At 37.3% G+C, this 11,512-nt stretch overlaps 1 protein-coding gene across 5 annotated transcripts in view, besides 1 other annotated feature; it reads right to left on the bottom strand.

Annotated features, from left to right (window-relative positions):
• Window positions 1-11,512, bottom strand: part of ANKRD42 (ankyrin repeat domain 42) — a 70,571-nt gene that overhangs the window by 5,354 nt on the left and 53,705 nt on the right. For 2 of the 5 annotated variants that reach the window (NM_001300975.2, NM_182603.4), the window contains one exon: window positions 9,958-10,986. In NM_001300975.2, the coding sequence (NP_001287904.1) occupies window positions 10,725-10,986 (262 nt within the window). In that variant the 3' untranslated portion in view covers window positions 9,958-10,724. Of the gene's footprint in view, window positions 1-2,829; window positions 3,085-9,957; window positions 10,987-11,512 lie in introns of those variants that run through there. The other 3 variants (NM_001433541.1, NM_001300972.2, NM_001300973.2) reach the window with 3 other exon arrangements.
• Window positions 728-1,022: a silencer, noted in NCBI's record as "tiled region #3734; K562 Repressive non-DNase unmatched - State 15:Elon". NCBI's record gives its function as "represses a minimal TATA promoter and a strong SV40 promoter by Sharpr-MPRA in K562 cells {active_cell/tissue: K562}" and the evidence as "EXISTENCE:reporter gene assay evidence [ECO:0000049][PMID:27701403]".

The following is an 11,512-nucleotide window of genomic DNA, read 5'->3' as shown; positions in this document are numbered from 1 at the left end:
AGTGTAGATCCTAACCTGCCTATCCATACTGCTTTGGTGACAAAATAGGCCAGGCAAGAGTATGTAAGGACTTGGCAAGAGTCAGGAAAAACCCTCACCTATTGGAAAAACAATTAAAAGCTTATAATGTTGTCAAACTTGAAGAATTTGGATATGTAACACTTGTTTATTTTTTAAGTATTTTTTAATATTTAAAAAAAGGGCAGTGGGAAAGGCTGTAGTCATTATCACTGAAACTACTGATTGCTATTTTGAAAAAAAATAGCTATCATTGACTATATGAGGGCAAATATGCTAAATAACATATATGTGCTCACCTATTTTCACAGCTCTCCTCTTAGGTAGATGGTATCCTCATTTTACAGCTGAAGAAACAAGTTTAGCCAAGTGAAGTAACTTGTCCACAGTCCCCCAGCAAGTAAGTCACAGGGACTCAAGTCTTTAACTCCAAATCTCACCCTCTCATGCTGTCACTCAATATACTAGTAGGGTTCAACCTGAGTACTCTTTCTCATGAGATGGACAATCTACTAAGTCATAGGAACAAAATAACTTAAATCTCTTTAATAACCTTTTTTTTTTGTTTCATTAACCTAAATGTGTCAATAATATAGGTATATGATTTATGAATAAATATACACAATTTGGGAATTGTATTATAATTTTAATTTAGCTGCTGTAACAAGATCCAGAATAGCAGTGGCTTAAATAAGATTAGGTTTATTTCTCTCTTACAGTCCAATGTAAGCATTCTAGGGCTAATATGTCAGCTCCATGGTGTCAGGGCCCTTGCTCCTTATTTTACTGCTCTGCCATCCTGGTGTTGCCCTCATTCACAAGGTCCAGTGGCTGACTCACCACCACATCCACATTCCAGAAGAAGAAAAGAGCAAGAGGTGGCATTATAGCCATGACCCTAAGGTTTTACGTAACATTTTTGCTCACATCCTTCTGAACACAACTTGGTCTCTTGGCTGCAAAGGCAAGCTGGGAAGTTAGTTCTTATCCTGCGCGGCCACAGACCACATAAATCCTTCCCACTACAGAAGAAGGGAGAATGGATTTTGGAGGACAACCAGGGAACCTCTGCCACAGGGTGTGTATGCTTTTATTACAACACTATTCTGGTGTTTTCTACCTCACTGGTACAGGAAGAAATTAGAGAAAACTGGAGCAAGTACAACAAACTATTTCCAGGGTTGGGATTAACTTTAGCATCAAGTTAGAGGGGAAAAGTAAGGCTGTCTGTAGTCCCAGAAGGGAAGATAAATGGTTTTGAAATCCCAGTAATGGTTAAGAGAATGCAGACTTTTGCTGCCAAGGTTGGAATCCCAGATCAGCATTATATAATCCTCGGCACAACTACTTTCTCTATAAAATATACCTACTTTATATGGCTCTTGTGAGAATTAAGAGATAGTTAAGGGCTTGGCACAAATCTCACACAAAGTGCCCAATAAATGTGCTTTGCTGACCAAAAAACAACTATGGCTTTCAGTTCAGTTCTGACTTCAATTCCCTCTTTTTTCCTACTTGCCTCTATTTTCTCTTCCTTTCCCTCCAGCTAGCAAAGAATTATGACTCTCTTGGAGCCAGCTCTGTGGCTCCTGTCTCCCCCTGAAGATCTGTCGCTGGTTTTGGGCTTCCCTGGCAGGAGCCCTCTCACCATACCCCAGACTTCCCACCCTCTGGACCCTTGCATCTATCTCACATGGACACTAAAGCCATTTTGACCTAGTATCAGAACTAGTTTGCCCTGACAAGAGTGCATTTGATTGCTGAAACCAGTTCAGCTGGCTAAGGGTCCGTAAGCAAGTGTTAAAAAATGACTCACCTATCCTTTTAATAACCCTTATATTCACTATTTTTAGTTCTTCTGTGGCTTTCAATCTATAGTAATAACAGTTGTCAACATTTATTGGGCACTTTGTATAAGATCTGTTCCAAGTCCTCTACTACCTCTTAATTCTCCCAATGACAGCCATATGAGGTAGGTATATTTTATATAAAGAGATTAAGTAGTTGTGCCTAGGATTACACAACAATGCAGAGCTGGGATTAACCTTGGAAGCCAAAGTTCATTTTTTAACACTTGTTTACAGACCCTTAACCTGCTGAACTGGTTTCAGCAATCAAATGCACTCTTGTCACAGCAAACTAGTTCTGATGATACCATGTCAAAATGACTTTAGCGTCCACATGAAGTATATGCAAGGGTCCAAAGGGTGGGCAGTCTATGGAATGGTGAGATGGCTGCTGCCAGGGAAGCCCAAAACCAGTGACAGATCTTCAGGGGGAGACAAGAGCTACACAGCTGGACCCAAGAGTTATAAATCTTTGCTAGCTCATGGAGGGAAGAGAAGAGAAAAGAGAGGGGGGTAGGAAAAAAGAGGGAATTGAAGTCAGAACTGAACTGAAAAGCCATAGTTGTTTTTTAGTTGGCCAAGCACTACTAATCTTTAAGATCAAGGAGAAAAAGAGGAAAAAATAAAGCCAAGTGTTTCTTATCCTGTCCAATCTGCCTCTTCTCTATATTCTTAAAAAGCTTGCAGTTACGCCATTTGAAAAAAAATTTTTTTAAACATATCCACACTAGAAGTGAAAGGTACTCTCTAGAAAGTGAAAGAAATATAATTCTATTGTGGAACCATAATTGAATTTTTAATAATTTTTAATATCTAGAACTAGATTTCTTTTGATTACTATACCAGCTAATATTTTAAAGCTTATGTGAATACTTGTAAAATTAATTACTCATAAATCTCTTGACTTGCCTGTGTAGAGATATATAAGAAGAATATCGGGAGAAGGTGCACAACTGAGTCCGTGTCATTTAAAAAATCTCTAAATCTCTTTAATATAACATTTCTGCCATCAGAATTGGAACAGAAGCATATCAGAGTAATTCTGAGATAGTTTGTATAGACTCACATTTATATCAATTTTTTTAATGAAAGAGAAAAATCTAGCAGGTCAATTTAGTTATTTCACTGATTAGTACCTTCTCACAAACACCCCTCCAGAAGAAACCTTTTTTTTTACTCGCCTCTTCTCTTTGTTTGACTCACAAGAAGCGCTGTCTTCCTATAAGCAAAGGAAAAGAGGGTCAAATACAATTTTCATGCTAGCACACATTTTCGTCTTTCTACATTGCCTGTTCAAAAGAAAAAAAAATTAACCATGCTAGTATTTTCAACTCTGATTAAATTTCTTTTAGGATTTTATGTGAATAAATTCCCAAATGTGAAGTAACAGTGCATTATATTGTGCTGAATCATATCACTAGGAGGCACCTTAAGAACTAGAGAAAGAATATAGAAAATTTAGTGGGTAAGAAGTGGCTACTTGTCAGATATAGCCAATTTTCCGTCTTATCTCATTAAGTTTTATCTCTACCTAACAGATCCCCAGACACTAATATTTAACAACATATTGGTAACTGCAAGTGTTAGTATGTCATCTTCTGGATTCTTTTGCCAGTCCCATAGTGCTGCGAATCATTCCCTAGCTTCCCCGCTTCCCTCTTTTGTTTTTGTACTGCATCCCTCTACTGCTCTAGTCTCATTTTGCACTTTGCCTGGTCTCCTGGTCTCACTGTTTCTAAATATTTCTTATCCATCTTGGTATTCTTAAGACCCAGCACAGAAAAATCAATAAATACCATGGGAAGGAGCAAGCAGGGCTAGAAACACAATGGATGGTCACTAGATATTAATCATCTTTGAGTAATTCTTCTAATCAAACATGCTCTGCATCTAGTTAGGCAAGCCAGCTCCGAACACAGAGGCTCCAAGAACAGCAAAAGGTGCATATCCCTGGGGAGAGCCCATGGCTGGAGTTAGTTCTCCAAGGTGTTCCTGCCCACACCTTTTCTAATGAGTCCAGTTAGTTTAACTCAATAGTGTGTGAACACGTAAGTAAGCTGCCATTATCCAACACCGCCTGGAAAAACAACCATGCATCTGGTCCCTCCCATATCCCTCAGCTGCAAACTTGAGAGTAGGATAAACTTCTAGCTTTCTCTTACAGTGGCCAGGTGTTTGTGGGCATAGGGTAATACAGATGGTCTCTTGAAAAAAAGTTTAGCGGCTAGTCTGAAGAAAAATAACAAACCTTTGATTGGGACTTAGCATATGATACAACTGTTCTTCATACTATACATACAAAATCAAGTGTAGTAAGTAGCATTACCAGTATTTTAAAGATGAGGCCAGGTGCGGTGGCTCACGCCTATAATCCCAGCACTTTGGGAGGCCAAGGCAGGCAGATCACTTGAGGTCAGGAGTTCAAGACTAGCCTGGCCAACCCTATCTCCGCTAAAAATACAAAAATTAGCTGGGCTTGTCCTGCACACTTGTAATCCCAGCTACTCAGGAGGCTGAGGCAGGAGAATCGCTTGAACCCAGGAGACAGAGGCTGCAGTGAGCCAAGACTGCGCCACTGCACTCCAGCTTGTGCTACAGAGCAAGACCCTGTCTCAAAAAAAAAAAAAAGAAAAGAAAAAAGAAAAACACTCAGGTGGGGCAGGAGTTTAACCTAATCCAACTAGATGGAACTAGAAAAAGAATATAGAAAATTTAGGGGGAAGAGGTGGCTACTTGTCAGATGTAGCCAATTTCCTAGTGCTTTAATAGAGTTATGACTTCCAGAAACAGGCAGGGTATGGTGGCTCACATCTGTAATCCCAGCACTTTAGGAGGCTGTGGTGGGCAGATCACTTTGAGCTCAGGAGTTTGAGACCAACCTGGACAACAATCCCCTCTCTCTACAAAAAAATACAAAAAAATTTAGCTGGGCATGGTGGCTCATGCCTGTAGTCCCAGCTACTCACGAGGCTGAGGCTGGAGGATTGCTTGAGCCTGGGAACTGGAGGTTGCAGTGAGCCAAGATCATGACCCTGAATGCCAGCCTGGGCACAGAGTGAGATAGTGTCTCAAAAAAATTAATTAAAGACTTCCAAAGACAGCAATACTTATTTTTCTTTACCTTTTATGTATTAGAAGAGGATTCCAAATTTTCCAAAGTCCCTCCTAACACCAAATATGTAACTTGTTCTATCAAACCAAGTCTTAAAATACAACTTCAAAAGAAAATATGTGCTTGGCATTCAACAGGCCTTCCATAAGTGTTCACTGAAGGTTCCAAATCTCCCAATTCTAAAAGTTTCTGCATTTGGAGAACATTTTTCACCAAGATTACTCGTTTCTTTATCTTACATCATAGCCAAGAAATATATTTCTCCCCAATACATGTTTTCTCCTAAACTCAATAGAACTGTATATTAAGATACTAAATACATGAATCATAATGCTTAGGCACCAAAAGCAATTCTAAATGTAAATGCAGTCTATTACTACAACAAAATTAGACAAAAATCCTTGTGGGGAAAATGTATGTATTTTTTTGCCCTGAAAGAACAGGTTTGTCGAACAGATTAAAATTCTACATATAAAACTGTTGAAAGAGTTTATGGATCTACAAATTACTGCTGGGATATATGGAATTCTTATTTTTCAAAAAGCCTATGCACTCTGAGAAATTCTAGACAGCATATGAAACTATAAGAGAATTCCACCTTCTTGCTTACCAGTACAGACTCTTCTTAACAGTGTCAAAACTAACCCTTCTCCCCCAAAAAAGTAGGGTATAAACAAAGAGAAAGAAAGGGAAATCACAAACTTTTAGAACTTCCCCAAGCTAAGAGTTGAACATGGATAAACTCACTGAAGTCCTCATATTGCTCCATGGGCCACTCTAGGTACATAAGCTAGGATGTCATAGGTCAGAGAGAAGCCCAGCAGAGACCACATCAAAGTTCAACCTTGTTCCAGACCTTTGTAGGTAGAAAATAAGGTTAAGTGAAACATGGAAGGTAACCATGGAATATTACCGGTTCCCGGTCAGTCACTCTTGATTAGCAAACATGGCCCAAAGCTGTAGATCAAGGACTTCCTGAATAATACTGGTTCTGGAGACAGAAGCTATGAGTTCAGTGCTACATAACTCTCTCTCTGGACAGACAGCTCTGCCAAAGCTATTACATTATATTTAAGTATATGTATTAAGTATATATCTAAATATATATTATACTTAAAATATTAGTTTAAATTTAATGTTTTAAGTACAATATATATACCAAAGAGCACAAAGAAAAAAAAAGGTACAGCTTGATGAATTTTTACAAAGTGAACACACCCCTGTGACCATGACTGAGATAAAGAGATTAGACATTACCAGTATCCCAGAAGCCTCCATTTGCCCCTTCCTAGGCACTACTGACTTGATTTATCTTACTGATTTGTGGACTACATGTAATCACACGGTATGTGTTCTTTCATATTGTTTCCTTTTAGTCAGCATAGTGTTTGTGAAATTCATTCGTGGTGATGTGTAGAGTAGCAATTCACACATTTTCATTGCTATATAATATTCCATTGTATGAATATAGCAAAATGTATTGATTCTTACTGTTGAGGGAATTTTTAGATGATTCTAGTTTGAGAGATATATGTAATAATGCTGACAAGAACATTATATATTTTTGGTGTCCATCTGTGTACACAAAGAAACATGTACTAATTCCACTAGGAATTAATTTTCCAAAGTGGTAGCCAATTTACACTGCCACCACTGGTGTATAAAATCTCCAGTTGTTCCACATCCTCACCAGCATTTGGTAACGTCTGTTTCAATTTTTGCCATTCTGATGGGTATATATTGGTATCTTGTTTGGGTTTTAATTTACATTTCTGATAACCAGTGATTTTGAGCACAATTTCATGTTTATTGGCCACTTGGATATCTTCTTTTGTGAAATGCCTACACAAGTCTTGCCCAGTTTTTTTACTGGACTGTCTTTTTCACGTTGATTTATATATTCTAGATACAACTTCTTTTTCAGATAGGAGAGAAGAAAGAAAAGCAGAGAGAAAGAAAGGAAATATGTTTTTCTACACTTTGGCTTGCCTTTTCAAGTCTGTTCATATAATCTTTGATGAACTGAAGTCTTATTTTAATGAAGTCCAGTCTACACATTTTTTTCCTACCCCAAGGTCATGAAGATATCCTACGTTATATTTTATCATCTCAACTTCCAATTTAAGACATATCTTGAAATATATGTTTGAACTTATAGTGTAACATTTTAACAAAATTCTTACCAATTTTTAAGTTTTCATAAGTAAATTAACCCTAAAATTAATTTACTAAATTAATTTACTAAAATTAAAAAGCTATCATCAAAAGTTTTCAAAGAAAAATTTTCAAAATAAATGTTCTTAAAAGCACAGAAAGAGGGAATGTGAGGGGTTTATAATAGCAGTAACAAGTGGTGTTAAAAGCATAGACTTGGGGCTAGACAGGTTGAAATCATGGCTAGCCATCTAACAAGCTTTGTAACTTTATAAATTGTTTATTTTATCTGAGAGTTGATTTCTTCATTTATAAAATGAAGATGGTATCTGCTGAATATAAAGTCTTAACACTAAGCCCAACATACTCAAAACCTGTTGTTAATGATGACTAAGATGATGTTATTAACATAAGTTAAGTGATCTTATAAAACTTAGATTTTCAGTACTGCGGGTAAAGTAAGTGCCCAATCATGCTGTGATACAGATGACGAGAAGCCCTCAGACCAGTACAAGGTGCTTGATAGAAGGAGAGATCACGTGTGACCAGGGAGACTAGGAAAGGGGTGATAAATGAGATGGCTCCTAGGGGATTTTACAGAGTCAACAGGCAGTTTTCAAGGTATATGGACAAATTGAACAAAGGCTTAATGATGGGAAAGCATAGGGTAGCTTAAGAAAAAATAAGCTATTAATATATATATAGGAGAACAGACAAAAATAAAGTTGGTGAGGTAGGTTAAGGCTGAATGTCAAACTGAAGAATCAGTACTTATTCAGGTAAGGAAGATTTTCAATCCAAGGAGTGACAAGAAAATCAAGCTGACCACTGTGAGTCAAATGGATTTGGATAGGGAAGGAGTAAATACCAAAATTCTATCACAGTAGTTCAGATAGAAAGATATAGAAACCTAAACTAGGGAAGCAGTGAAAGTAGAGAACATGTTCCTACCTACAGGATGGACTCGCTTTTTGTATGATCTAAAGGAGAAAACATGGCTAATCATTAAGAGTCCAAGACTGGGTAGTTGAGAAAATAGTGATGCCATTAATTTAAATGCAGAGATAGGGGAGAGAATCTGGTCTTGATATTGAGCTTGGTTCTGGACATTTTTTTTTAATTCAAGCACCACCAGGAATTTCGGGTGGAAATGTCCAGTTGACGAGCAGTGGGAAATACAGGTGGGGATCCCTAGTGGGGACACAGTACTTAAGTATGGATTTGATAGTCATTTCCACAGAAGTATTAGAAAAATATAATGTGGAGACAGAGATTCTGAGTTTGCTCCTGCCTTACACTAGCTGTATGCTCTAACAAGACTCTCAACTTCTCTGAGCCTCTGCCCTCTCATTTATAACATGGGATCAAAAATATATATATCATTCTACCTCCTCATAGGGTTGATGCAGACTAAAATGAGATAATATCTGAGAAAGTGCTATAAAAACAGCTGTTATCAAAAAACCATTTAAGTGCTTTATATATGTCAAACTATCCTAGGAAACTATTCGAATAATTTTTTTTCTCAGTAAAAATTATACTATTGCAGATTATGTTGGGGGCCGAGGATCTTAAGGTACAGTAGTATGCAATCATAGGTCCTGACCAGAAGGTGGCAGGAGAAAGACTTAGTCAGAGCTTCTTGAGGATTCCGTATTTATAATCCTGAACGAAAAGTTCATTTTACTTATACATTACATATAATTAGACTCCCAGATAAATTCTTCCTATCCTTAGCTGCATGTGGCTCTACACATTTATTTATCCACTGACCATGTCAACTCATCTGTAATATAGAAAATGGAAAAAAAGAAAGGGAGTAAATAATACAATGACTACTACTATATAGTGAATACCTCTGCGTGCTAGAAACCAAATTCAGGATTTCTACACAATATTCCATTTAACATCAATACAATTCCATGAGGTAGGTATTATTATTCCTCATTTTAAAGATGAGGAAATTGAGATTCAAGCTTTTGCAAGTGAAAATAAGCAGTGCCAGAGTTGCAGCTGCCATGAAAGCTCAGTGACATTTGCTTATTTACAAAAATTAGGTATAACCTAAAGCAAGAATGCAAAAAAAAATGAACTCTGAGCACAGGGACCTTGAGACAGCTCTCCTGAAAGCCTACACATTGTTGGTAGAGTGAAGTTTTAGGGAAGCAAAACTGTGAAGTATGAAACCAGATCCAACCTGAGAACAGATGCTTCTGAGTAAGCAAAGAGAATTTCTAAATAGCTAAAAGACAGAAACATTCCTAAAGTAGACAGTTTGGAATGGCTCAAAAGAAAATGTGCAGCTTGCGTGACCACCCCAAAAGATTGTCCCACCTAGGCAGCTGAAGAACAACAACTTAGCCTTGGCAACAAAGCAAGATCCCGTCCTTACAAAACAAACAAACAAACAAACAAAAAAACTAATTGGCCAGGTGTGTTGGTGCATGCCTACAGTCCCAGCTACTTGGGAGGCTGAGGCAAGAGGATCACTTGAACCTAGGGAGTTCGAGGCTACAGTGCCCTATGATGGCACCACTGCATTGAAGTATGGGTGACAAGAGCAACACCCTGTCCAAAAAAAGAAAAAACGAAGAACAACAACTTACAACTTACCTTTCTACTTTTGAGGAGACTGGGAGTCACAGAGTCCCTGCCACAAGGTGGAGGGGTAACAGATTTGATTGGAAGCAGTGAGTTATAAATGGTGCTGTGTCCTCTAGCCCTCTAACCAACACATGACTGTACAGCTGGCCTCTCTGATACTAAATTTTCCCCATGTGCTAAAGATCGTACAAGAAGAGGGTTGCAAAATGAAGAGAATAGATTAATTATTATAGTTAATTATATTTCTTGGAAAATCAACCACTGGTGAGACACCAAAACCCAGAGAAACTGAGGAAGTGGTTATATTTGCATATGCATAGAAATACACATACATGTTTGCAGATAAATAGAATTTTGTCTAATATGGTATGTACTAAATTGTTAACAATAGCTTCCTCTGGAGAGTGGAACTTAGTGTCAGAAGGAACATCTATCTTGTTTTTAACACTATACAACAAACATGTTTTATTATTTTAATATTTTTAAAGTGGTTATTAAAGAGACCAATGACTAGTTTGTGCAAAATAAAAAGAAGCCAGGAAGATTCTATAATATTAATAGATCAGATTTGAGGTGACACAAGCCTCAAACAGAATTAATTCATCCATGATGATTGATGAAGAAACTTCCCTATGGAAAGAAAATATGGATTCCATTCAAAGCACTTTATTTTGGTTATTTAGAATATTAAAATATACATATCCTCTAGCTGTCTTAGAATTCTGATTGATTACTTATGAAAACATTTTCTCCTTCTATGGTACAATGTTAACAATAATACTTATGAACTAGGCTGCTGTTTGAAGATAGATAGACAGATGTGTGTATGTATCTAGAAAGTTATAGTTACATATAGAGTGTGTGTGTGTGTGTGTGTGTGTGTGTGTGTGTGTGTGTATTCCTTTAATCCTGTCATCAGCTCTAGAAAGTATAAGTTATCATCTCCAGTTTATAGTTGAGGCACAAAAAGGTTAAATGAGTAGCCCAAATCAAAAAAGACTATAGCCAGGATTCAAGTCCAAAGAGCCCCAGCCCAAAGCTTGTACTCTTGGCCACTCTTGTATATACTTCTTGAGAAAAATAAATGTATTAAAAAGGACACCAACCATAGCCACAAAGTTTGGGACTTGAATTTTTTCCAGTGTTTCCCTGAGTTGATCAACTTCTGCTCGATATTCATCAAGCTGACATTCTAATTTTTCTCTACGTAGTCGTTCATACTCCAGCTGGCCCTGCAGTTCTTTGATGGTCCTATCAAAAACAAAATTTTTTAAAAATCAATCATCAATGTCAACTAATAATTACTTTTAGTAGTGGAAAGCATTCATACATTGTATTTAAGGCAAATAAAACAAAGAAATCATTTATTCAACAAATATGTATTAAGGGTCTACTAAGAATGAGCACTGACCTAGGTATTGGGGATACAGTGGTGAACAAAAGGCCCAAAATCTGCCTTCCTGGACCTTACTTTAGTAATAGAGATATGCAGACAACAAGGAAAATAAATAAGTAAAATATATGGTATGTTGGAAGGTAATAAGTGCTAAAGGAGAAAACAAAAATAAAGCAGGAAAGAGTAGTATAAAATGTTGTGGAAGAGGGGCTTAACATTTCATACACAGTGGCTAGGGAAGGCTTTATTGAGAAGGGGGCTTCTAAGCCAAGCCCTGAAGGAAATAAGAGAGATAACCCTGTAGACATTAGAGGAAAAGCATTCCAGACAAAAGGAACAAGTGCAAAGGCCCTAAAGTAGAAGGATGCCTGATGAAGTACA

This window comes from Homo sapiens, chromosome 11, assembly GCF_000001405.40.
Source record: "Homo sapiens chromosome 11, GRCh38.p14 Primary Assembly".
NCBI classification, from domain to species: Eukaryota; Metazoa; Chordata; class Mammalia; order Primates; family Hominidae; genus Homo; species Homo sapiens.
Note: the sequence above shows the minus strand (reverse complement) of the source record. Positions and strands in the feature narration are given on the sequence as shown.